This window comes from Homo sapiens, chromosome 6 (assembly GCF_000001405.40).
Source record: "Homo sapiens chromosome 6, GRCh38.p14 Primary Assembly".
In the NCBI taxonomy this organism is placed as follows: domain Eukaryota; kingdom Metazoa; phylum Chordata; class Mammalia; order Primates; family Hominidae; genus Homo; species Homo sapiens.
In genome coordinates, this window is record NC_000006.12 from 41,265,599 (window position 1) to 41,292,404 (window position 26,806).

Below are 26,806 nucleotides of genomic sequence, written 5' to 3' on the forward strand. Positions count from 1 at the left end.
GCACTCTTCACAATAGCAAAGATATGGAATCAACCAAAGTGTCCATCAACAGATGGCTGGATAAATAAAGTATGATATATATACACAATGGAATACTATTCAGCCATAAAAATAATGAAATCATGTCTTTTGCAGCAACATGGATGGAACTGGAAGCCATTAGCTTAAGTGGAACAAGTCAGACACAGAAAGACAAATAGTGCATACTTTCACTCATAAGCTGAAGCTAAAATATTTGTACACATGAACATAGAGAGTAGAATAATAGACAATAGAGACTCAGAAGAGTGAGGGGATGGGGGTGGGGTGGATGATGATAAATTGCTTAATGGTATAATGTACATCATTCAGGTGATGGATACCCTAAAAACCCTTACTTGGACACTTTGCAATTCGTGCATGTAATGAAATTGCATTTGTATCCTGTGAATTTATACAAATAATTTCAACATCTAAACTAACCAAGGGCTGATTAAAAATCAACAAGCGGAAGGAAGGAAGCCAAATAGAAAATGGTTAGAAATAGGTTATACATTGCAGTAAAAAACTATATGCCCAAGAAACTCATAAACAGATGTTTGATCGTGTTAGTTAGAGAAATACTAATTTTAAAACATGGAACTGTCACTTTGAACTCATCTGAATGGTGAGCACATGGAAGGTGGATGACACTAGGAGTTGGTGAGAGTGGAGGAAAGGGGGATCCTTGAGCCCTGCTGGGGGGAATGCAACATGACCCAACATTCTGGAGAACAATCTGGAGCCTCTGTGGCATAAATATGTGGCTATCCCATGCTCAATGTTCCATCCCTGACTTATGCTCTGTTATGCATACTATTTTTTACGTCCTGTTTAGAAAATATTTGACTTCTCCAAGGTCATTTTTTCTACATTTTCTTCCAGAAACTATATTGTTTTCACCTTTTATATTTAGGTCTATGATGCATTTTCAATTAATTTCATGTGCAGTGTGAAAGAGTTAAAAACCTATTTTGTTTTCTGGGTGGGTATCCAACTGATCATTACCCTTTGATAGAAACAACATCTTTTCCACACTAAATTGCAGAGGCCCTTTAGTGGCAGTCAAGTGACTGTCTATGTGTGGGTATGTTCCTAAACCCTCTATTTTGTTCCTATTTTCTATTTGGCTTAATGCCAACTTAACATGTAGTTTAAAAAATTCTTATATGGCTCCTTCAAGAGCATGAATGGAAGTGTTTATTTTGAGGTATTTTGTTTGCTTGTTTTTCTGTTTGTATGCTTGTGTTGTTTTGTGGTAGTAAAGAGTTGAAGCAACTTAGGTTCCCATCACTAGGGGGAACAGAAAAATGAAATCCAATACTGCCCCTACATTATATGAAATCCTACCTAGCAGCCAAAAATTGAAGATTTAGATTTACATATAGCAACAACGGATAGTCTCAGAAGCACAATGCTATCTGAAAACATATAACTAGAGTTATAATTTTCAAAAAAAAAGCTTAAACCATGAGACAAAAATAAACACATGCTAAAAATTTTATTTAACTCATAATACATAATTTATTTGAGAAGATGTTATACCAGTTTAAAAATGGAAGTCAAAAGGCACAAATGTATATGAAGTAAAGGAATATTGAAATGAATTGTACGTGGAAGCATATCAGTTTGGGGTTTGCTTTTCCCTCTCAGCAGGGGAAGGAAGACAGGGCAGAGTTTGCTTGTCTATCAATAACCTGCCTTTGTGAAAGTTAGACTTCTCTCACAAAATGATTACCAGATAACATAAAGAAGAGAGTGCAATAGATAATGCAGAAGTTTCAGTTTAATTGCAGATTTTTTTCTACAACAGAGTGAAATGTGTAAAAAACAAAAGCACACAAAATCAATTCTATATATTTTCAAGAATCTACATGCATGCAAATAGACATGGAAAATATGAAATATGATTATTAAGAAGATGCCTATGAGGGAAGGGTAGGCAGTGCAGCTCAGGATGAAGGTAGTAAAGATTAAAAAAAACACACACATTAAGCTAGGAGTGGTAGTTCATGGCTATAATCTTAGCACTTTGGGAGGCCAAGGAGGGAGGATCACTTGAGCCCAGGAGTTCAAGACCAGCCTGGGTAACATAGCAAGACTCCATCTCTATACATAAAAATACACATTAAGAAAACACATGAAACCAAATGAGTGGTAAAGTGTTTCCTTTAAAGTGGGCCATGAAATAAGGAGTCTGTCAACTCAGTTTGGTTACATGAAGATCTTTTGTGAAAAAAATAAGACAAAAGCTAAAGCTAAAACAAAAACACAGCATGTTTGCATTTTTGTTTGCTTACAGTTGACCTTGCCATCTTTCAGGGCGTAGGTTTTCCTTTATAACATGAATGCAAGGATTGAGTTCCAGCCTGGGAGAAGAACTGACTTATCCGAAAGTGCCCAGTGTGCAGTGGTGGGAGAGGATGGGATTCCACATCCAGCCTTCTGATGCCAAATGTCATGCTCTTTTCCCTGCAAATTCAAGCGGGGGAAATGATTGGGTCAGGGAGCCCATACAGGAGATAGGCAAGGACGTTTCACTTGGCATCCTTTATGGTCCCTCTGCAACATCAGAAATTCCCTTAGACAAGAACAATCTGTACGGGATGCTGCTTCTCTGGCTAGATTAGCCTCAAGTTTTCTCCAGTTCCTGGAGAGAAGGAATACGAAGCTGCTATCAAAATGGCACTGCCTGTTATTTATGGTTCAATGAAGATAATTATGTTTAAGCGTATCCTTATTAAACTTGATACAGTTCTCATTTAACAGTATGCGCTCAGTCTTTCTCAACCATTTCTCTTGTCTTTTTTAAGACTTAAATTAAAGAACTGGGCAGAACTCCAATGATGGATTCATACCAGAAGGACCAAGCCATCCACTGGTGCCTGAATTGGGCCAACTTTGCTACATGTGAAATATAGGCCTTTATTTCCCTGAACTCAATAAAGATCAACAAACCCAAAAGGTTGGAGCCACTGAATGTCACAGAGGGGAAGCCCCACTGCCAGGGGTTTACTGAGGCCTAGAAAAGGGTGAGGCACTTCCCCAAGGTCACTAAGTATGATCAAGGCAGAGAGGGACCAAGAATCCACAATCTTCTATTGCCCTGTGATGGCTGCCCTTACCTTTGCAAAGGACTGAAGTTTTAGTATTTATGTAACAAAGAGGCAATAAGACCAAATTAATAAAATGCTCCTGAGTCAGGAGCAGTGGGTGATGGACCTGCTTGACCAATTGCATCATTGATTTGTAATCAGCCTGTCAGTGACCGGGTATCCTTGGATGTTTCTCAAGAACCGGGAAGTTATTTTATTCTATTACATGGGTTCAGTAGATTCCAACCATCCTGCCCATGGCTCTGTCCCTTTGCTTGGTCAACTGTTTATTTGCAGATGCTATGAAGTCTGACTTCAGCCCCAGCCTGTCCTGATATTCACATATTCAGATTAGCATATATTCAAATAGCAGAAGAGCAATGTCCTCTGCTAATTAATGGAGGCCTCTCAAATTCACTAGCTTGAAAAGAGTTTTATAGAAAAACTTGAGGCAAAAGCACTGAGCTCCACCATCCCAGTTCCACCTCCCCATGTAGGCAGGAAGGCTTGCTAACAAAGGAGGAGGGGGAATTGGCAGTGTTTCCACCAATGAGAAGCAACCGAAGGTCACCAAAATGTCCTTCATTTTCCTCCCTAATAACTGTGCCTCATCTACTGCTATTGAAATTCCTGAGAAGAGGAACAGCTTTTCATTGACCAAACGGGGCCCATTTCATTGATTCACCAGGTATGATGAAATCAGATGGGTTCCTGTAAGTCCCAGCTGCACCACTTATCTGCAGAATGACATAGTGAATAACTTAATCTCTTTGAGTCTTCTCTTCTGCAGTGAAGACAGCAGCACTTATTTCAGAGTAAAGAGATTAACAAGGTACATGCTTGGCTCATAGCACATGTTCAATTAACCAGTTTCTCTAGCGGCCCTCTGCCACAGGGTAAGATAATTTTTTATATTACCTAGTCCAACATCCTTGTCTTACAGGTGAGAAAACAGAGGCCCAGAGAGAAGCTATTGACTTTCTCAAAAAAGTCACAAAGCAAGAGAATGGAAGACCCAGGTCCCCTGGTTTCAGGCCTGCAACTTTTCCCATTGCTCTGTGCTGCCCTCCAAACAGCCCCTCATGAATGGGCAGATGGGGTCCAGCTCATTGGCTGTGCCTAAGGAGACCCTTCCATGACCTGAATCCTGCAGCTGCTCACCTTTGCACCAATACCAGCCAAATCCGATGGTGCAGGACAAAGGGGACCTGAGGAGACAGGTGGGTCATGCACTAATACGCCTCAAGTCCTGCCTCCAGAGCCCTATCACCACGACCCTGATTATAGCTTCCGTGGGATAATCCTCCAGCAGGTACCTCCCAGCCCAGGCCCAGTTTAGGTCTTTGTTTCTAGTCTCCATGAGCACCAGAGTCTCTGGGGGACCCTGGCTCCAACCCCACTGCCAGGCCTTCAGGCTGGAGGCATATTTCATGATGTTGTAAGAACAGGCCATGGTCAGATTCTGTCCTTCTAGCAGGCACATTTGCTCCTCCATGTCACCTACAGCTTGGAATCTGGGAATGACAAGTCAAGCACTTCACTGAGCAAACATGATTTCTTCTCTCACCTCTGCATCCCCAACCTCAGACCACAACACAGACACAGCGCCACAGACAAAGAGTATTCCTAGCTCCTCTGTCAAGCATGTAGGAGTGATTAAGTATTTCTGTGATTATTTTTAAATAGTTCTGCAATCATATATGTGTCTGTTTGCACATATATATGATATTATATAATATATATATATATATATATATATATATATATATATCTTAGCAAGATTCCTACCCATATGGAGCAAATAAGGCAAATATCCATCATGGTTGAAGTTTGAATCTACGTGATGAGTTGACTGTGACTACTCTTTCTACATTTCGTAGACTGGAAAATGTTCATCATAAAAAGGTACAAAAGAACTTCACCAGATTTACCACCCATTTTCTATTCCACATATGGTGGCCCAGGCATGGCTTTTGCTTTCTGGTACACAGTTCTTTTGTTTTTGTCTTTGTTTTTTGAGACAGAGTCTTGCTCTGTCACACAGGCTGGAGTGCAGTGGTGCAATCACTGCAGTCTTGACCTTCTGGGTTCAAGTGATCCTCCCATCTCAGCCCCCACCACATAGCTGGGACTACAGGCGTGTGCCACCATGTCCAGCTAACTTTTTGTTCTTTCTAGAAACAGGGATCTCACTATGTTGCCCAGACTGGTCTCGAACTCCTGGGCTCAAGCCATCCTCTCACCTCAGCCTCCCAAAGTGTTGGGATTACAGGTGCGAGCCATAGCACTTGGCCTCACACAGCTCTTTGTATTAGCTCCTGGTGTCCCCAAGACAGATGCTCTTCCCATTCTTCTCTGTTTTCTCCCAAATGGGATGGATATTCCCATTTGGTCCCAGAGGGCAGTCAACCTGAACAGTTGTAGCTGGCACTAGTCTCTACCTCCTCTTCACCCTAAATATCACGGATCACCCTACACCTGGTTCCATCATCATCATCTCCCATCATAACATTTATTAAGCACTTATTAGGCCCTAAATACTGAGCCAAGGGCTTTCCATACATCCACTGTTTAATTCTTAAGACAACCCTCTGATACCTGTGAGTCGGTTCCATTTACAGTGAGGAAACTGAGCCTAATAGAGGTTAGAAACCTTACTCAAGGTCACATACATAGAGTGTGGCTGAGACAGGATTTGCCCCAGCCCTGTCTGATTCCAGAACTCTTGTCTTCTTCTCCACATTCCCTTCTGTGCCCTGCTAGAGTGACTTCCACAGAAGTTTTGTTTTCATGTTACTGCCTGTCTTTTTGCTGTTATTTACCTTTTGCTCTACTAACGCCTCCTCTGCACAGTGAGTGAATGCTTTTTTAAGGGGAGACTCTGTCTCGCTTTTCTTTACATCTCCCAGGATATCAGCACAGTGCTGGGGGATTGCTCTGCTGAATCCACCTAATTCTCTCAACTTCAAGATGCAGTAGAGGGACCTCCAGCTTCTGTTTCATCGCCCAGTCCCTCCTGGGTCAGGCTGGACAAGCACCGTCTGCATGCATTGCCTCCTTTCCCTTTCCCATTTGTACCACATTACCTGATCCCATTCCAGTCCATCCCAAAGATATAAGAGGAAACTCCCATTAGTGGGCACTTCTGCTGGGCTGTCTACATCCCTCTCCCTGGTCCCCTCTTCCCCAGCCTGCTTACCCACTCTCCTTACCTGCAGCAGCAGGAGCAGCAGCAGCAGCAGCCAGGGCCACCCTCAGAGCCCTGCCCCCTCCACTCTATCTGCCACCCAGATGTGCTGTCTGCCGGCTGGCCCAGGGCCTCTTGTAGTTGCTGCAGGATGTTGCCCCACATACGCGGTCACCATCTCCCCACGAGGCTGGGTGGCTACTTTACAATTGACAAACCTTGGGGGAAGTGTGACTCGGGGAACAGCTCAGGAAGATGCAGAAAAAGAGAGGCAGGCTGGCCACCCTTGTGACAGCTTCTTTCCTGCCATCATGATGTCACAGTCCTGATGGGAACACTCAGTTGCTTCCCTTTCTGCACCATGGTGAGTCTAGACCCACCCACCTGATGTCCCCACTGCGTCACTCACCCCTTCAGGCCACCAACCTCCTCATCACTGACCACTGACCCCTACAACCCGCAAGCCTGCACCCCAGTCTCCCTGTGAAATGGTGCTGCGCAAACAAACATTGTTCATCCCCCAAGGCCGGGTTCAAGCCTTTCTGCTACATCCTCCCTCTTTAATATCACCCCGCACCATGGTTCCCAAGGACAGGCACGTGGCTTCACTCAGGAAGTGTGGCAGACATACACACCCAGGCTCCACCACCAGATATTCTGACTTGGCAGATCTGGGAAGGGACCCAGGAATCTGTATTTTAGCAACAGCTTAGGTGGTTCTGAGGCAAGGAGTCCAAGTTGACCATGTCTGCAAGAGCTGCATATAGGTAAGATGGACCCTGCAGCATGTCTCGGTGACTCAGGGGCTTTGCCTGAGTACCAGGTATGGGCTTCCCTGAGCTAACCTGTCCAGGCACAGGCATGGAGACCCCAGTTATAACAGTAATAGCAGTAACCACCATGGATTGAAGTCCTACTGTGTGTCAGGTGCTTTACTCAGGCGTCTCCTTGGATCCTGTCAACATTGGGAGATGGTATAATGGAGGTGTGTCATCTTTTGACTCTCCAGTACCAAACACCTTTTTCTTTTGGGGGCACAGGCCCCAATGTGTGAGTTTCACCAGATGCAGAGTTCTGCTTCCCCTTCTATTGAGGATGGAAGCAGCTATTCCTCCCACCCTTCTCCCGGCAGCTGTGCTGCAGGCACGTGACTTGACCTAAGCCTGGCCACATGCATGATTCTGCCCAGGACCCCAGATCTGCGGATGAGGCTCAAATGCAGGGCCAGTTGCAGATTACTTACTCAGAGGCAATTTAAGGATTCAGAGTCTAGGAATAGCATGGTGGCCTCCAGTATCCAGGGCAGTGGCATTGATGGCAACATGTCCAGACTGTCTCATGTGGCCTCTGCTGTCCATTCTCTCTTGGCTTCTGCCCATTTTCTAAACCCAATCCCCCAGCCTCTCATCAACTCTGAGTTACTGATATCCCCCTAGAATTCCCTTGCTGTTTTAGATAGCCAGAGTTGGATTCTGTTGTTAGCATCCAAAATCATCACTGGCATGGTTAGGCACTATCATGCCCATTAAGGCAAGGAGGAATATTGAAGCCCAGAAGGTTAACTGAGTCACCCAGGATCAGACACCCTGCAAGGATGCAGAGCTAGATTCAAACCCATACATGGTTTTCCTCCAAGACCTGTGTCGTTAGCCACACAACACTATTGTATCAGTCAAGATAACAGCAAGACACCGCTGGCTCATTGAAACTGGGTAATTGAGGAGCATTTAATAAACATGTGCATAGAATTTAGGGAATCCAGTAAGGGGTGCTTCAGTATGCTGAGGCTGGCAATAGTGGTGGGTCATTCCCACTGCTGGGCCTACAGAGGAGAGGATGGAACAGGTGGCTGGACTTGGAGATGGGAGCTGTTTGCTGAGAGGCTTGAAGGAGCCTTCAGAGGGGAATGCAGCCACTCCTGCCACCACCTGCCAGGGAGGGAGCCCTGAGGACAGAAACCCTGATCTGACTGTCTCCCCACCCTCGGCTCTCCTCTCATGCTTCCCATTGGCTCAACCAGCCAGAAGCTGGCAGCCAGGGAGCCTGCTGGTTTAGCCACATTGGTCAGGTTCCCAGGCAGGATGGGGAGGATGGAGCATGGCGTGGCCTGTAAGTGCAAATGGGAGAGTATCCAGCACGGCCATTTGTCTTCCGATTTAGTGCATATAATATTTCAGTCACGTTTAATATGTTGGACTTAAATAACACTTGATCTATAATAAGTTAAGCACACAAGCATGCACTGGACCATGCAGTGGGTTATGTCTGGATGAATCTGTATGAATGTGTCATGGGCTTTGGTAAGGAGTGTAATGACTTTTTGGAAACAAGCTTGAGATCCACTAAGAGGGAGCTGTATACTAGTATACAGTAGGTCTGCAGGGGCCCTGGACTCATAAAGCATTTGCTTTATGCTCCAGGAGAATCTGATGCGGTGGCCTAAAGACCTCTGAAAAACATTGCCCTCATGTGTTCTGCCTCTCCTAGAGTGTATTTAATGATAATACCCCCTTGCCCTGGTCACTTTGTCAACTTCATAAACAGGAACAATGCTGGGATTGCTAAAGTGTGGGGTTCCAGACCAGCAAGCTCAGCATTATTATAAACACTGCATCCTGTACAGTCACTGCCTCTGAGCTGCTTGGTTCTTTTAGGTAGGAAAATAAATGCACCAAGATTAACAGCTTCTGGATCTAGTGCGTCTGCAAAGATTCTCACCAGAGCATCAGGATGAAATAAATGCCCACCACACACCTTCTAATGGGCTCAAAATTGCGGTTCAGAAATCATCTCTCTAGGGTCATTACCATTACCTGGGCAGGTTCTGACAGAGCAGCATTTAGGGGAATGGGGAAGTCCTTATGCGATGGAGCAGTCTGGAAGCTGGACCTCCCCGTGCAGGGAACTTTTTCCACAGAAGTGGTGCTCATTGTAAAAATACATTTACCTAACATGAGACACACGGTATGTGTGGAAAAGTATGATTGCTCTTGGGAACTGAGGATAATATCTGCCCTGGGCATCACTAAATTGGGCTGGAAGGACCCACCATCCTTTCCCCACCCATGAGGCCCATTTCCCTTTAAAGCTCAAAGTAGGAAATAACAAAATCCTGATTGAAATCTGTGGGAGATTGCAAGACAATCTCCCACAGAGATTGTCTCTGTGGTGGCCTGAACACCTACCTGCTTCACCGGGGAGGGCACTGGAGAGAGCATGGAAACTGAGGCAGGTGTTCCAGGAGCAGACTGAGAGAAGAGGAGGAGGGCAGAGTGGGGAACTAGGCAAGCACATGGGGACAGCCTCCAGAAGCCTCCCAGGGGGAGAGCTTTTACTCCACCATCCCTGACCCTTGTGTGATACAGGAAAAGAGGCATTTAGACACAGGCGGAACTCCTGGTTATTCTATTCTATATGGTTTTGGGGTCCTTCAGGTAAGGAGCGCTTCAGTTTTCACTCCTGCCAGTGGGCAGTGGCTTATTCATGTGGCCTCGTTCTAGTCACATACATTTCTGCCTTCACGGGGCTATTTTCAGGATCCAGCGATAAATGCACACAGGATGTCTGACATGGTCTGTTGTTGCTCTCCTATGGATCCCATCTCGGCCTGCCAGTATTTCCCCAGAAGAAGATACTCAGTTTAACTCTTTTCTCTGAGAAGGATGCACTTTCTCACCACGATGTCTTATTTCTCCAGGTTCCACAATCTTCAACACCCTTTTCTGGGAGTGTTGGAAAGAACCACACATAAGCATGAAACCCAAGTGTCTGATGCTAGAAAGAGGAAGTCCCAGCATGGGGCGAGCAGGATGCTTCTGTAGTGGGAGCTCTGTCCAGGTCAGGCCAAAATTGTATGGTCCAGGGCAAAACTGAGCAGGAGAAGTATCAGGTGTGCCTTCTGCATGTCACAGCCCCCACAAGAGAATTACGGTGAAAAGCATTGAGCTGTCTGTATTTCATGCCAACCCCAAGTGGCTGGTGGAATGAAGGACCAAGCATGTTTGGGGCTGTAACTTCTTTTCTGAGGCACAAATGCCCACCCAAGATTATTAGAGGAACGAGGGCAGTGGGCAGGAAGGTGAGACGCTGACTTTAGAAATAGCCGGTGATTACAGATTTAATTCATGTTATTAACTCCCTGCCTTTTACCTCCTCCCTCCTCCCTTGGCACAACTGCCAGATGGATGTGGCTGGAAGTCAGAGGACATTCTCGTGGGTTCGTGGGCCTAGGGTACAAATGACCTCAGCGTGACAGCAAACAGGACAGAGAAGACCAGGCTCTTACTCAGGAATCCACCAGCCAGGAGAATGACAATGTTGAACACCGGAACCCTGCGGGAGACAAGAGGCTGAACGCTACTGCTGGCAAAGTCTCTCCCACACGCACATGTTCCCTCTAGAAAATGCCTTCATGTCCCACTCTCCTCTGCTTAGATCCTTGCTCCACCTTTCCCGCACTGCCTGACCCTGTGCTTTTCAGTCTGTCTCATTGCCAAAAACTACTGATTAGAAACAATTCAGTGGAGAGTATAGGTCCCTGTCCAGGAGAGGCACTGGAGGGAGACAGTCGGGCTGATCAGCCCATCCTCCTCCCTGTGATGTGGTAGGGAGAGAGGACTCTGGCCAGGAAACCCGCTCTCTATTCTCAGTACCGTACCCTGCCTACTGGGATGGTCATCTCACCTCTTTAGCTCGGTTTCCTCACCTATAAACCGAGAAGAATCCACCCGTAGTGAAAATCTCATCATGAATTTTATAGATTTTGGCGAAATGATTCTAAGGTTTCTGGGTAAACATCAATAGGTATCATAATAAAAAGATGCAAAGGAGTGAGGGCACTTGGCCAGTTCCATCAGCAGACATGCAAGCAGATGAGAGCACAAGGATGTGGCATGGTAAGACACAGGGACAGACAGATGGCAATGGAACACAAAGGCCAGATGCAGAGCCAGTGCTATGCAGGAACATAATGTCTAAGGAAATCAGAGGTCCAGTGGATAAGCCGGACGTGGTAGCATGCACCCATGGTCCCAGCTACTTGGAGAGGCAGGAGGATCATTTAGTAAATAGTCTTGCAGTATCTGGACAGCAACATGGTAACGGTGTAGGCTTTTCTACAGTTTATAGCATGTAGCAGAATAAATCTTCCCCCGGACTAAACATTTAAATAAAATAAAAAAAAAACAATCCAAGAAAAGTCACCAGGAAATAGAATCAAACACATTAAGGAATAAAGCAAAGCAATTGATTTAAAATCAACACACCCACCTATACAAAACTTAAAACCACATGCACAAACTAGCAAAGAGGGAAACGGCGTAAAGGAGCTAGAAAGCAGAAAACTGCCTATTTGCCTGAAATCCACCCCCATTCAAGGGCCCTGACTTGTAGCACAGGGGACTACATTCCCAAGCCTGACTGGTCGAGTTCAGCAACTGGTGGGGGACAGGGGGCAGAGACGGGGGCAGGGATGGGGCAGAGAGACAGGCAGCAAGGGGCAGGGAGCCAGCATCTCTCTCACCCCTCACATGGTGGCGCACTCAGCATCCTCAGCATCTGCCCCGATTCCAGTGCTGCAACCTGAATGTCCTGGCTTCCGGGCTCTGCTCACTGCACCTCCTCCCCAAGTCTCTCCTGCCAGTGCTCTGCATTATCCACTCTGAGTGCTTTACCATTTTCCTATGCTGAACTCCTGGGGCATGTCCACTCCCAACAGGCCACCATCTGCATTTTTTTCGAGGCTGCACACAAGCTACCAACCCCCTGAAGGGCCAGGAATTCATGTGCTTGGCCTTGGTTAGAGCTGCCCTTGCTCAGTTACTGCCCCTTATAGGGACAACTCCAAATGTGACCCAGGAGTCCCCAGAGCTCCTTAACAAGACTGAGCCAGAGTTATCCTGTGAGATACCCCTTGGTTATGACACGCTTGCTTGGCTTCCTTCCCTTCCTGGTCCCACTTCCTCAATGGCTTTGCCAGAAATCACTTCCTAAAACATTTTTCTTTTTGTCTTTTTTTTTTTTTTTTTTTTTTAGAGAGAAAGAGAGCAGGATCTTGCTCTGTTGCCCAGGCTGGAGTACAGTGGCTTGATCACAGCTCACTGAAGCCTTGATCTCCCAGGCTCAAGTGATCCTCCTGCCTCAGCCTCCCGAGTAGCTGGGACCATGGGTGCATGCCACCATGCCCTGCTAATTTTTTTATTATTTTTTTGTAAAGACGGAGTCTTGCTATGTTGCCCAAGCTAATCTCAAATTCCTGGGCTCAAGTGATTCTCCCACCTCAGCCTGCCAAAGTGCTGGGATTATATGTGTGAGCCACAACACCTAGTCCTAAAACATTTTAACAAGACTTTACAGCTTGCTTCTGGGGAAACTACCTAGAGATAGGGTGATAGTGGCTACCTCTGCAGTGCCTCTCCATCCCCAGGATAGCGTCTCAGCTCTTCCATCACCTGGGCAAACAATTCCCTGCATTAAATTCCTTCGTTTCATGGCTGGATGTGGTGGCTCACACTTGTAATCCCAGCACTTTGGGAGGCCGAGGTGGGAGGATCACTTGATCCCAAGAATTCGAGATCAGCCTGGGCAACACAGGGAGACCCCCATCTCTACAAAAATAATAAAAAGTATTAGCTGTCCTGGTGGTATGCACCTGTGGTCCCAGCTACTTGGGAGGCAAAGGTGGGAGGAGGTTGAGGCTACAGTGAGCCATGATCGTGCCACTCCACTCCAGCCTGATTGACAGAGTGAGACCGTGTCTCAAAAAAAAAAAGAAAAGAAAAAGAAAAAAAGCTTCTTCTTTTCAAACAGCTAGTGTGGATTCCACTTTCCAGACTGGATTTTGGCTGAAAGGATAGTTCATATTAGATGATAGATAAAGTTAACAGATAAAAGAGAGATGCAGTCTCTAGCAGCAAGGCAGGAGAATAGGGTCTGGAGGCAGGAACGTAAGACCAATTCATGCTGAATCATGGAGCAACACCAAGGTCTAGGGGCAAGAAATCTAGGATGGATTCGTGCTGACTTCCCATAGCTGGATCAAAAGGAAAACTCCTGGGGCTGGGGTCAGGGAACCTAAGGCCAATTAACATAAACTTTCTAAAGCTAAAACAAAAGGAAAAACCCCATCTCCCCATGCCCCAGCAGCAAAGAATCAAAGGCTACTCTCCCTACAGCCCTCCCCCTTCCACCACGTCTCAGCTGGAAAGGGAGAGTGTCTTAGATTGGCCCTGAGCCAAGCAGAGACGACCATCCCTTTACCCACAGAGGGCGCCAATTCACCTTAGCCTTTAGTTAGCCACAAACCAAATGCTTCATCCAGATAAGGGGTAACTGGGAGGAACTTCACGTGGAGTACTTAAAACCCAGAAAACTTTGTAACTTGGCCCTTGAGCCACTTGCGTGGGGCCACTTCTACCCTGGGGAGCGCTTTCTCGCTTAAATAAATTCCTGCTTTCACTGCTTCATTCCTTTGTTACTTTGTGCGTCTTCTCCAATACTTTGATTAAAAGGCCCAGAACCTGGACAGCTTACACTTAAGGCCCTCCTTCCGGTAAAAGTAAGAATATGGGCAAAGATTATGTTCTCTTAACTTATGTATTGCAAAATGAAAGTAGAGGAAAAAAAAAAATTGACTCTTAGTAGATCATTCGTTTGATTTATTCCACAGAAGTTTAATGAGCACTTTGTTCCCCAAACAACATAATGGGGAAAAAGGCACTGCCACTACCCATATGGAGGTGGAGTCTACACTCATAGAGAAATTAGAGCAGGCACCAGTTCACATTTGTTTTAGCAGGAATGTGATTTAACTCACACTATTTAATGATTTAAAAGACTAAATCCGTGTCTGTAAGCCTGCCATGACACTGCTTTATTTATGCTTAATGGATCACACTGCAAATTGTTTCCAATCTTTTGGAAGACCATTGGTAGATGCTATTTGTATACAAAATGATATCAGTGTTTAAATTATCTCATGGAAATTTCGAGTTAATTATTTAAAAGAAGAAAAATATATCTGCAAGAATATGTTTATCTCAGAGTTATCAACACTATATCAATGTCTAAGAACAGGCCAATGGTTATGTAAGTTATGGCTTTCCCAATTGATAGAAAAATATGCACTCATTGAAATTATATTTATGAAATTTAGGTAGCAGCATCAAAGAATAATTTCAGCAAGGAAAAGAATAAAAACATGTATAATTAGACTTACTGCCATATTAAAATATGTATAAACATGAATAAAGACTAGAAGAGAATATGAGAAAAAAGACATGTTAGACTAGTGGTGATGTGGAAAAGTATTTCCATCCTGATAATTCAGTATTTAATGATAAACACATTCTAATATAAATCAACATTTAATAACTGTAAAGAGGTGTGAAATTGCTAAGTTAGTGGTTCTTAAGTTTGCCTACACATTAGAAATCTCCTAAACATCTTATTAAAAATACTGAGAGGGACCTCATCTGCAAAAATTCTGATTCTATTTATCTATAATTGGGCACATGCAACAATGTTATTTAAAAAACAATAAGGCAAAAACCAATACTGCATTTAGCCCCAGCTCCAGCTCCTGCTGAGAGTTATTAGGTGGACAATGTCTTCCAGCTTTGGGTTTCTACCATGCCTACTGAATTGTCAAAGAAGCTAAAGCCAGAGAGGGTTCCTGACTCACCCAAAGTCACATTCAGTTAGTCAGGCCAACACTAGATCCAGGGCCCCTCACTCAGAGTGCTTTCCCACTGCCCATCAGGCCCCTGGGGTTGGATGAGCTCCACTGGAACTTGGGGAAGATGCCATTTCCCTCTCTTTAATACTCAGGTTGCAAGGAAACAAAGAAGGTGAACTGGGGAGAAGGACAGCCTGGCTGAGAGCCTCCCCTATTCTCCATCACCACTTCCTTCTTCCCCTGGACATTTCTACCCAGACTAATGTGACTCAAGTCTTCTCCTGCCCCACCCTCCCCTTTCCCTCACTTTCACATCCTCTCAGCACACAGACTGGGAAACAAAGGGCTCAGTGTCCAAACCAGGGGCCCAGGGACCTGGAAACTATACCTGATGATATCTGTCACATTTGTAAGGTTGATTTCAGAGTCAGGAGTGGAGACATCGGCAGTTGACTTGGGTGGAGCTTGGGTCACAGTTCTGGGGCTGGTATAGAGTGGGCACAAGGCCTTAGTGGTGGTAGGAGGAATCTTATACACATTCTGGGTAGAATTCTCATTGGAGCCAGGGGTCCCTGAAAAACCTGCAAGAAGACACATTGGATGGATGGATGGACAGATGGATGATGAATGGGTGGATGGGTGGGTGAATGGATGTATGGATGTATGGATGAAAATGTGGATGAGTTGATGGACGGGTAGGTGGTACGGTAAATGAAGCTGAGGAGGGAAATGAGCATGGCCCAAATGCAAAGTTTTCCTTTGCTAAAGCCAAAGAAATACTGTGGAGTCAACCTGAGTCAGAAATCGAAAAAAGGAAAGAAGAAAAAAAGGGCAGGAAGTGAGGGAGAGCAGAAAGAGAGAAGAAGAAAGGAATTTTTTGTCATTCGTACTGTTGGAAATGAACTTGCCTTCTGTTCTTCACCAATTCTTGTGCCCCAACCTTCTCCAAGAATAATTCCAGGCTTACTTGATTCACTCTGCCTTTCGTTCACCTGGCTTATGGCATATTGCTTTAAAAGTTATCTTTTATTAATATATTGTGTGTGCACCTTGTCTTCCTCAGGCTTAGAATTCCCCAGGTGCTGGGAACTTGAGCCTGCTTCCCTTTCCTCTGTCTTCCATAATTCATTCCTTAATGCAACATCTCCTGAGGGCCTACTTTGTGTCAGAAACTACATTATTTGCTAGGGGTGCAGAGCCCAGGAAGGCACAGGTGCTTCCCTCAAGCAGTTCTGAAATGAATAGGGTACAGATAAGTAAACCCCCCTCTCCTATCCAGTGAGTAGAGTTGTGTACAAGGGGACACAAAATGAGCTCTGGAGACTTGCTCCCCCAAAATGGGAGCCATGGACCATCAGCATTGGCATCACCTGGGAGATCAATAGAGATGCAGACCCCTGTACCCATTCAGTTGGAGTGTGCATTTGAAATAAGATCCCCAGGTGGTCTGTGCCCACAGAAAGATGTGAGAGGGGCTGCTTCAGAAGCACACAGGCATGCCACCAAACGCATCCTTGGGAGGGGGAGTCAGGACATGACTTCTAAGTGGAGAACAAAGAATGGGACTAAATTATCCCAAATCTACCACTCACCTTAATTGTACCCCAATTCCTACCACAGCACCCAAAATTAGGCTGTGCTATCCAAGGAGAATCTCATGCATGGAAGGTTCTACTTACTACTGGACCTTAGATGAGAGATAAAGAGGTCCTGGGAGGAAGACAGACTGCTGGGAATCCTGAACCCCAGCTCTGCTGATGCTACCACCACTGCCCCTTTCCTCACCTGGCCCTTCTTTCCCCCCAAGTCCCAGGCCACTCACCCTTGGTCACCACCAAGCGGATGCGATCGAACAGCATGTGAGGCTCCTTGGGAGGCTGGTAGATCACACACTGATACAGTCCAGAATCTTCCACTTGAAGGTTGACCATTCGGACGCGCAGTAAACCATGATCATGGTAGTCTTCTAGTATGATCCTCCCCACTTGGACTGGATGGGAATTCTTTGAAGGCCTCTCTGTGCATGCCAGGGTCTTGGGCATCTCTCCGTCCCTTATTATCTGCCAAGCTTTCTGGCTGCTGGCAAACTTCTCTAGCGTGTAGTCACATTTCACATCCAGGGTCTGCCCCTCTTTCAGTTCATACTTTTCCTCAGTTAATTTAGTTGCAGCTCGGAGTTCTATAAGCAGGGAAAGAGAATGGGTTCTGTGAGGAATTATTTTTCTCTCTCTGAGTGGGGAAAAAGGAGAGGAGCCCCCTGTTTTTCTTGTCCAACCACCCATATTTCAGATGAGGTTCTTGAGGCCTCCAGAGAAAATACAACTTGCCCTGCAAGCCAGCACTAGACCTCAGATCTTTCCACTGTGAGTAGGTTTTTTACTATAAGAGACTGCATATGGTGCATGAGGATCAAATTTCATAAATGATCAGAAGAGGAAGACTGACTTTGAGAGGAAGAAACTGCCTGCCTGGAGACAGAACATGGGATATTGTACTAAGACCACGAGTGGCTGCAGCATGGTGGGAGGGATCGATTACAAGGGCGTATGACATAAAAAGTGAACGCAAAGACACGGTGCTAGCAGAGAGTGGCTCCAAGGACACCTTGAGGAACTTCATCTAAGTCAGGGCAAGGAGATCAGCTCAAAAGACCTTTGGACAAACAGTGAGGAAGCCGTCTGGAGGGCATGATGGGCATGGATATCTGACTGCCTGGCACTCCTTTTTCCCTTCCTTGGGTAGCAGAGCACCCCTTTCCAAGGGAACGATCCTGTGTGGCTCTACTGTTGGGGCAGCCCACATTCTCAAGGATGGGCACAGGACACAGGATTTGCCAATCCAAGTACCCCATCTCGGGGCCAGGCACAGTGGCTCACGCATGTAATCCCACACTTTGGGAGGATGAGGAGGTCAGATCACCTGAGGTCGGGAGTTCGAGACCAGCCTGGCCAACATGGTGAAACCTTGCCTCTACTAAAAATACAAAAAAATTAGCCAGGCATGGTGGTGCACACCTGTAGTCCCAGATACATGGGAGGCTGAGGTGGGAGAATCACTTGAACCCGGGAGGTGGAGGTTACAGTGAGCCAAGATCACAACACTGCACTCCAGCCTGGGCCACAGGGCAAGACTCTGTTAAAAAAAAAAACACACACACACACACACACATACACAAAGTACCCCATCTCCCTGCCAGGCTGATTGGTTTAGGAAGGAGCACATGGCTGAGCTGGACCAATCAGAGTCCTCCCTGAGACTGCTGTAGCCATTAATGGAAATGCTTCTTGCTGGGATTCACAGGTCAATGAGATGTGAAACTTTATTATGTGAAACTTTCTACCACGTAGGAATAGGCTGCCCGAGAATGGCTAAACAGGCAGAAAGTGAGTGGGAGGAAGGAAGAGGGGGATAGTGGAGGGGAGAGAAAGAAAGAGAGAAAAAAACCCACGTTATCTGAGTCATGGACTCAGCTGTGCTCCAAAGGAGCACCCCTTGTACTTCCCAGTTACCTGAGCCAAGAAATGCCCCCTCCTATTTTTGATGTCACGGAGTCACAGCAGTGGTTCTCCACTGGGGAGCAATTTTTGCTCCCCGCCACAACTCTCCCTGAAACACTGGACAATATCTAGACATTTTTGGTTGTTATAACCAGGGAGAGGGGTGGATGCTACTAACATCTAATGGATACCAGGCTAAGCAATCTACAGTGCACAGGACAGCCCCCACAACAAAGAATCATCCCACCCCAAATGTCAATAGTGCCATGTTTGAGAACCCCTGGGTTACAGTGACAATAGTTTCCATCACATTCTTGGAGTCCGAACTGGGTTAACCATCTAGAATTGGGGATGCTCATCTGGCCTTGTCCAAGGGAGCCTTGCTGATGGGAGGCCAAGCAGAGCGGAAGTGAGAAGACCAAGGTCCGTGTTTTCAGCTGGACACACAGGGCTCTCTAAGTTTGCTGAGAGACTGTAGCTTACCCACTCAGGCCTGGGGTACCTTCCCCCATGGAGCACCAAATAACAGGCTAGACAGTGCTGCTGGGTCTACTGTGTGGGTCACGGTAACACTAGTACTGCTGTTATTAATACCACACACTTAGGTCCTTGCAGGCCTGGTGAAAAATGACAAGTGCTTACCCTTTCATGGAGCCCCCTGGCATGCCCACCCCAGGATAGGCCAACAGATCTGCCTGACCTTAGGAAGACTCAACTCAGGGACTCACAAGGAGTTTAAAGGTGAAATCAGTCTTGAAAGCCAGTTCTTCTGGGAGCAGACTCCAGTTTCTAGGGAAACCTCGGAAACAGACCTCTTGGGCAACTCCCACACACTCCAGTCAGGAATGTGCCTCCAAGAGACTGTTGACCAGAGGCTGAGTGTTGTCTGAAACCAAGCCTGGTTCCCTCATTTGTTCACTCACTCATCAGACTGGCTGGGAGACTTCTCTATCATAGGCACTGTGCTGGGCTCTTTGGAAGACACACAGACTCCATCCTCAAGTTGCCACCACTGAAGCCCTAACCTCTGAAGTTAATGTTACAGATAAATCTCTTTTATTTGCCAGCTCCCCAGGGAAGGTGGGAGTTACAGGTGACTGAGTTTGCAAACTTGCCTGTCTCTCACAGAAGGAAGGAGACAATAAGAAATGAAGGCTGCTGAGCTGTCTGTGCACAATTGCAAGAAGGGAATTCCTTTGAATATGTTAATTAAAAGGGTAGCAAATACTACCTATTAAGTATTATGTGCTAAGGGTTTTTAAAGACTATCTTATTTAATCTTTATAAAGTAAAAAGTTGACACCATTATTCTCCCCATTTTATAGATAAGGAAACTGAGGCACAGACAGATTAAGTGATTTGCCCAAAGTCTCACCATAGTTAAGTACTAGAGCCAGGATTCAAACCCAAGGACTCTGGTTCCACCTAAAGCACTGAGCTACATGGTCCAACACAGTCTGATAGGGATTAGAGAAGTCCTGGCCCAAGTGTGAATAAGTATCCAGTTGCAAGGAGCATTGAGGTTAACCCCTAACCTATCCCCACAGGGCACAATGAAATATATACCACTGGTTTTCTCTCACACAGGTACATAACCTTCAGCCCTCTGCCATCTCCCAGTTCTCCTTCAGAAAAACATGAATCAAACACAAGGAAATGCACTTGTCCATGAGGAGCTAACTCCCTTCTGCCCATCTAGATTATCACCCCAGCTCCAAGAAGACCCAGAGCAATGTCTGAGCACAGGCTCTTCAAGGCAGTTGTCCATGACTTTGCTCAAAGTAGAGAGCCCAGGAGGATACCTCTCCCTGATTTTTCATGCCTTCCCAAGGCAAGCCTCGCTTTTAACTCATATTGACACTTTCCTCCTGTTATTCATAAGGATTAGGAGGAGGAGTGAATAAAGCCCGCATGCTTCTGGTTTGGGTGCAGATGTGAGCTGTGCGGATCGTAAGAGGAGACACAAGAAAGAGCTGGGGCATGCGCCGGCTCTGCTGAGCCTCAGCAACTGTGCCCTCCAACCCCAGCGTGCCATGGAGAGCTGGGATGATCACCTCCACCAAAATGAGCACCAGCCTCTTCTGGTCACGTCTGTGTCCTCAGCAGTAGTATATTTGCTGTCCCATAGTAGACCCCTGGGAAATATTTGTTAAATCAATTCTGTCTTTTGGGTTTAACAGATTGTCAACATCAAACACATCATGATGGAATATAAGAAAAAAATTTCAACATCAAATAAACTTATTGTAGATCATGCCATGATGAGATCTACTCTATCATTATTCCCATACTAGGCTTTGCATGTCTCTAACAACATCGACATGCACAGACATCTTTTTTCCCTGACTCTCTCCTTCTTTTACTTTTGTGTGCAGACACTGCATGTTCTCCCAATTCTGGGTAGAGCAGCACGGTCTGCCATAACTACTGGTTGGCTCTATCTTGGATGGCCCTGTGCTCTGAAGCTTCAACAGAAAAGGGCTCCCCGAGATCCTGGACCAAACGCCTCCCCTGCTCAGTCCTCTTCCTTGTCTTACCTGAGACAAAGAGCATCCACAGCAGCCCCCAGAGCCTGGTCTTCCTCATCCTTCCTGTGCACCAGCTCCAACTGCTGCTGAGGGCTCCCGGGACAGCTACAAGGCACCACAATGACCTAGAGGCTTCGGAAAGTTGCACAACAGGATATGAGGCCATTCCTGGGAGTCACTGAGTTTGGGTTCTGTTTCATCACCAGTTGCTCTGACTCCTGACATCAACACAATAATACAGAGACCAAGACTCACTTCTCAGTTAAGTTTCTTTGAACTCCAGTTTTCCTTTCTGTGGTAATAATGACAATTACCTTTCAACCTTACAAAATCTAAGGGAGAATGATACTTGAATGTAAATCAAAGTAAGGCATTCATATTAGGAAGGGGAACAGAGGGCCCTTTGCTCTCCAGAGGCCCCCTCTCCATTCACATCCAGTTTAGTGTAGTGAAGAGAGTCAGGCCCACATAGGGAGAGGCTGCGACAATCGTATCTCATCTTCAGGGTTTTTGTGAGAACATGTTGCTTCATCCTGCCCTGCTCAGCCCCGTGGGTTCTCTTGGCTTCTGGTGACCTGGGGTGCACCTCCTCTTCATCACCAGGAGGGCCACACCCTGCATTTGTCCTTCAGCATTGCCACAGACATGGCCTGGGAGCTCACGGGGGTGTAGGGACCCCAGAAACAATTTGAGAGGACACTGCCACCACCCAACAAGAACAGACTTAGATTTAAAAAGGAAACTTGGTTCAAGACGCTGAAGCAAGAAGAAAAAATCCAGCAGGTTTTGTACTAGAAGCAAGAAAAGACAGATTTGACAGTGTGAAAATCAAATCAATAATGGAGAGGATTCACTTCAGAAATATTCCCAAATGTGAAATGAATAAAGACATTTAGAAGAGCTCAGAAATTTAAGGGAGGACAAATCACAGAATTCCAATCTACAAATCAGAGATGTCCTTAAAGCATAAAATGGAATGGTGGATCACAAGCAAGATTAAAAATTTTATCTTAAAAAATATGCTTTCCAGGTCTGAGAAGAAATCTAAAATTGGAGGTTGAGAGTTCAACATGGGCAAGGAAAAAATTCACAAAGTGAGACCTAGAATAGGAAGTTTCCAGGTGAAAATTTTTAAATTTAAATAAAAAGATTCCTACTGCTAAATAAACAAAAAAATAACTTGGTTTCTTCAAAGGAATTGAAATAATCAGGACTCAGATTTCTTCTCTGAGTAACAAATACCATGAGAGAGTGGGATGAGGTATAAAGAACATTATGACCCTAATATTTTACACCCAAATTGATTGCTACTCAAGTATAGGAACAGCTAAAAGGTACTATCATGTCTGTAAATTAAAACAAACAACAACCAAAAAAATTTTCAAGGCTAACTTTAATTTTTTTTATTAAAGCTGTTCAATGCAGCAATTTATAAAATATAGAAAATAATACATAAACTTAAATCATGTTATTACACTTTATAGAGATCATTTGTAGTGGAGATTTTACTATGTTTATTTTTTGTTCTACAAATAATGTCGGAAAACAGGCTTCAAACATGCTTGAACTGAAATCTGCTGGCCCCTCCTTTTGCTGTACTCAAGCAGTCCCTAAAGAGGAAAAATAGACAGAAAGCTCTTGACATTTTCTGACTCAGAGAGGAGCCTACGTGACTTCTGTGGCGATGAGTCAAATTAATAAAGTTTATTTCAGTGAATAAATCCCCTCCTTACAACAAAATTAATATTCCACACTTAAATAATAGCTATTTCACATACTTTCTACATTTTTGTGTCTTCATATACTTTGTGTGGAGGATTAAGCTCCTGGAAGATTAAGAGGGAGCTTTGAACTAAACAGTCCAAGAAGAATTTTTAATTAGACTTGAATATCACTGGAGGCTGATTGCTCCTTCACATTTTCCTAACTACGGACAGCACCTGCATTTAAATTAGAATGAAGTAGAATGAGGTCTTTCTCCACTTGTCTGATCTATTTGTGTACTTGAGGTCAACAGTGCAAATAGTCACGTGTCACTTAATGACAGATACATTCTGAGAAATGTGTTGCTAGGTGATTTTGTGTTGCAGGAACATCATGGAGTGCACTTACACGAACTTAACATGGCACAGCCTACTGTACACCTAGGCTGTATGGTATAGCCTATTAATATTAGGAAGGGGAACAGAGGGCCCTTTGCTCTCCGGAGGCCCCCTCTCCATTCACATCCAGTTTAGACAAATACCTTTCAACCTCACAAAATCTAAGGGAGAATGATACTTGAACATAAATCAAAGTAAAGCATATTCCTAGGCTGCAAGCCTGCACAGTATGTTACAGTCCTCAATACTGTAGGCATTTGTAACACAATAGTAAGTATTTGTGTATCTAAACATAGAAGAGGCATAGTAACAATACGGTATTATGACATTATAATCTTATGGGACCTCCACCATATATGCAGTCTGTCATGGACCAAAACTTCCTTGTGCAGCACATGGCAGCATTCTCTAATCCTTACCACTTTATTTTTCTGAGGAGTTTAATGACCCGATCAGTAACTTCTTCAGGCTGAATAGGCAGGACGATATTCCTGCCTAACTATTAGGGTCTCTTTAAATTCTCAAGCTACTGCTCCCAACAAGATATTATTTCTTAAGGCTTCTCATAGAAGAGCACTGTCATTTGTGACCTATGGTTCCTGTTAATTTTACTAAGGCTGGGTCACATGTCCCATTTCCATGCTTGCTCATAGGGTGGCCTCTAGCACTAGGAAGATTTAGTCTTTGGGTACCATGAACCTTTCCATATTTGCCAAACTTCATCTTCAGAGCTATTATGAAATCAATACAGTTTCAACATTGATACAATTAATGAAATAATACCAATATTATTCTGTTTTGTTTTGTCTTCAATAAGTCACTGCCCCAAGTCAGTAGGTCTCGATCTTCACTATGGGGTAAATTAGCAGTTTCTTCCTTAATAAAGATTGGTTAATCTAACCTAGCTAGAATATATGTGTAACATTTTTTAACAATGAGATTGCATATAAAATATCTTCTTTTCTGGCTCAGAGGAGGGGCCCACATGGAACTGGAACACAGATCTCTGAGGATAGTGTGACCCTGGTGCTGATATCTCTGAGGAGGCCCAATGAGACTACTTCTGAGAGTGGGGAAAACTGCAAACTGGAACCAGTCACTGTTGCCCGTGAAAAGCATCACTGAGGCTACTCACAATGAAAGAGAATGAAATAGGAATCAGTGAGCATGTCCTGTCTTCCTCCTCCAGCCTCCCAATCTCCCTCTAATGCCCCTATCGAGAGTCCAGCAGGGAACCAGCCAGCAAAGACAAAGCGAGTTTCAGAATCTCCACTCAAACCAAGGTAAAGAAGTGTTAATCAGAGAGACGATGACTGAATAACCAGCTCACTCACACAGTCAAACAAGAGCACTCCACGTGTCTGAGGCCTCACCTAGCAGTAAAGCAGACAAGTTGAATAGTTAAGAATCACAGTGGCATTTTATGAAGAACTTTCTTAGCATAGCTAGGGGGCATGGCTAATTTCACATGTCCCCAGGCCTTATCTAGAATCAATGCTCCAAAATAAATTGAACAACTTTTAAAAGTCAAAGAAGCAGTTTATGACCTTAAAGCATTTAGGAAACTTAATATCTGACCTGCATAATTTAGACCAAATATTTACATTTTTGAAAATATTTTTATTTTACCAATAATCTTTAAAACTGTTTTTATTTCCCAAAGATTACTTAAGTCATATGAACCAAAAGACATTACACTTTTTAACTTTTTTGACAAAATATTTGATTTAAGCACTTATTTTTAAACCAATTAATCTAGCTATTTTATATTACACACACATAATTCATATAAATACATAGACAGAAGATAGAGGACTTATACCCAAGCCAGGAATCAAACCCTGAACCCAGCCTGCCATTGTGAAAAGAGAACATGGCCACATGGTTACAAGGTCAAGCTCCCAAGGACATACAAGACAGGAAGGAAATCTCATCCAGTTTTTTCAGGAACCTGCAGCAAAGTTTGTAACTGACTGGTTTACTGGGCTGTCTTGAAAAGCAGGCTTACAGGTAGGTGTCTTAGGCTTGTGTTCTATCCTAAAGTACTCCTCTGCATTATAGAACACAGAAAGACACACAAAACATACCAAATTCACTACAGCTTAAGACTAGCTTCATGAATTAATTCTTCCATTAATCAAAACTTTACAGAGGAGATAAACAGTGATTTTTACCATTCATTCAACCAGTTTGCACAGAGAGAGAGAGGAGAAAGGATTGCCTAAGGCAGGGTGAGGAAGGCACTCAGGGAGGCCAGAGAAAGACACACCCATTGCAGCGACACTGAAAAGTTCGGGCAGCCGCTTGCTGATCATGAAGGAATTTTTTCCAGCAGTGCCATCAGCTCTCAAGTTTCCCCTTTTTAGGAAGGAAAATGCTCCCCATGCCCCCTGATCCTGTACATGCCTAACCCTGTCACCCACAGCCATCAGCAAAGAGTGCAAAGCAGATTATTTCCAAGAGAACAGCAATTAATTCCCATAGTGCTAAATTCGTTCTTAGCCAAAAGGGACTTTACCAAGAGGGACTTTACCGACAGGGGCCTCTAACCCCCTAAATCTTAGAAGGGACTCTAACCCTCATAAGTTGGGCCTCTAACCCAGTTGGTCAGGCGTTCTTGCCTTTTATTAAGAGGGGGCTGTAACCCACTATGTCTTAGGAGAGACTCTAACTCCTTTAAATTGGGCCTCTAACCCAATCCCATTCTTTACCCGGTATATGCACCCCACTTACCCAAAGTCCGCCAGTCAGTGCTGCAGTCTATTTCCTTTGCATTGGAGGGTCTGCTCAGTATCGTCCCTTCCGTGGTTCACAAGAAAGATGTTAAAAAAACATCCTCAGATGTTTTTTAATGATTTTTTCCTAAATGAAGTTCTTTTAATTTTCAGACCAACCAAACATTTTTAATATAAAAACATTTTAATAATATACAAACAGCAATCAAAACGGCATCCACTTGGAAGCGAAAGGACTGGGGCACAGATGGGGGAGTGGACTAAAGAGGGACGGTTTTCAGGGTCCCAGTTGCTTCCCTTGCCTGAAATCACTCTGGTCTTAGCAGAGGGAAGATTAAGGCATCCAGAGGCAGAGGGGCCCTGACCCTGACCCAGAGACAGACTAAGCACAGCAGGCCCCTCTAACATCACCTTCCCACCATGACAGCCTCCAGGGAAAGCCAGATCCAGTTACAAGAGAACAGGAAGGTGGCTGTGATTAACAGGAAAGGCAACCATCGTTCCTCAGCAACCTGTTGATCACACCTCTGGGAATAGAGTTTTCCAGTGACTGCTGGATTGAAGAGGATCTAAGAATCTTCCTGGGAGAAGGATGGAAATGGGATCTGAGTCTACATACTAACCAAGATGCCTTGCCTGTAACACCAGAAAGCTGGAGTGGATCTGCTCAGATGTTTGGGAAGAGAAAAGAATGACAGAGCCTTTGGCCCAGCAAAGCTGGAGTGTTAACAAGCATTGACTGAGAAATCCTCTAGGCAGGCCAGGGAGGTCTGTGGCCCACCACTTACCCAAAGGTAGCCATTGGGTTGGGGGTTTCCACACTATAGTCACTTCCATGATCAGCAGAAAGATGTTACAGGACCCCACCACTTACCCAAAGTTAGCCTTTGAGTCAGGGGTTTCTGTGCTATAGTCCCTTCTGTGGTTGCCAGAAAGATGTTACAGGAAATGGGTCTGGATCCAGACCCCA

At 44.8% G+C, this 26,806-nt stretch overlaps 1 protein-coding gene across 6 annotated transcripts, besides 1 other annotated feature; it reads right to left on the reverse strand.

The window, feature by feature from the left end:
- Nucleotides 1,787–21,084, reverse strand: TREM1 (triggering receptor expressed on myeloid cells 1). Of its 6 annotated transcripts, NR_136332.2 has the most exons (5): nt 21,009–21,084; nt 16,797–17,153; nt 15,363–15,555; nt 9,486–10,632; nt 1,787–2,490 (listed from the first exon to the last, which is right to left on the reverse strand). NR_136332.2 is itself a non-coding variant. In XM_011514696.3 (4 exons), exons 1-4 carry the CDS (start codon nt 21,055–21,057, stop codon nt 2,337–2,339), a joined length of 753 nt encoding a protein of 250 aa, XP_011512998.1. In that variant the 5' UTR covers nt 21,058–21,084; the 3' UTR covers nt 1,787–2,336. The 6 variants fall into 6 exon arrangements, 5 of the variants coding, with proteins under 5 accessions (XP_011512998.1, NP_061113.1, NP_001229519.1 ...); XM_011514696.3 differs by lacking the exon at nt 9,486–10,632; NM_018643.5 differs by lacking the exon at nt 1,787–2,490 and having other exon boundaries at nt 8,007–10,632.
- Nucleotides 23,069–23,158: a silencer, noted in NCBI's record as "silent region_17175". NCBI's record gives its function as "represses an Ori minimal core promoter by ATAC-STARR-seq in GM12878 lymphoblastoid cells {active_cell/tissue: GM12878}" and the evidence as "EXISTENCE:reporter gene assay evidence [ECO:0000049][PMID:35858748]".

What these genes read in the sequence shown, in the direction of transcription:
- TREM1 (XM_011514696.3), bottom strand. Translation starts at nt 21,057, where the DNA reads ATGAGGAAGACCAGGCTCTGGGGGCTGCTGTGGATGCTCTTTGTCTCA. An exon ending in GTGGATGCTCTTTGTCTCAG is followed by an intron (nt 17,154 to 21,008) that starts GTAAGACAAGGA and finishes CCCTGCTTATAG; the next exon opens with AACTCCGAGCTGCAACTAAA. An exon ending in AATGTGACAGATATCATCAG is followed by an intron (nt 2,491 to 15,362) that starts GTATAGTTTCCA and finishes TTGAATTTGCAG; the next exon opens with GGAAAAGAGCATGACATTTG.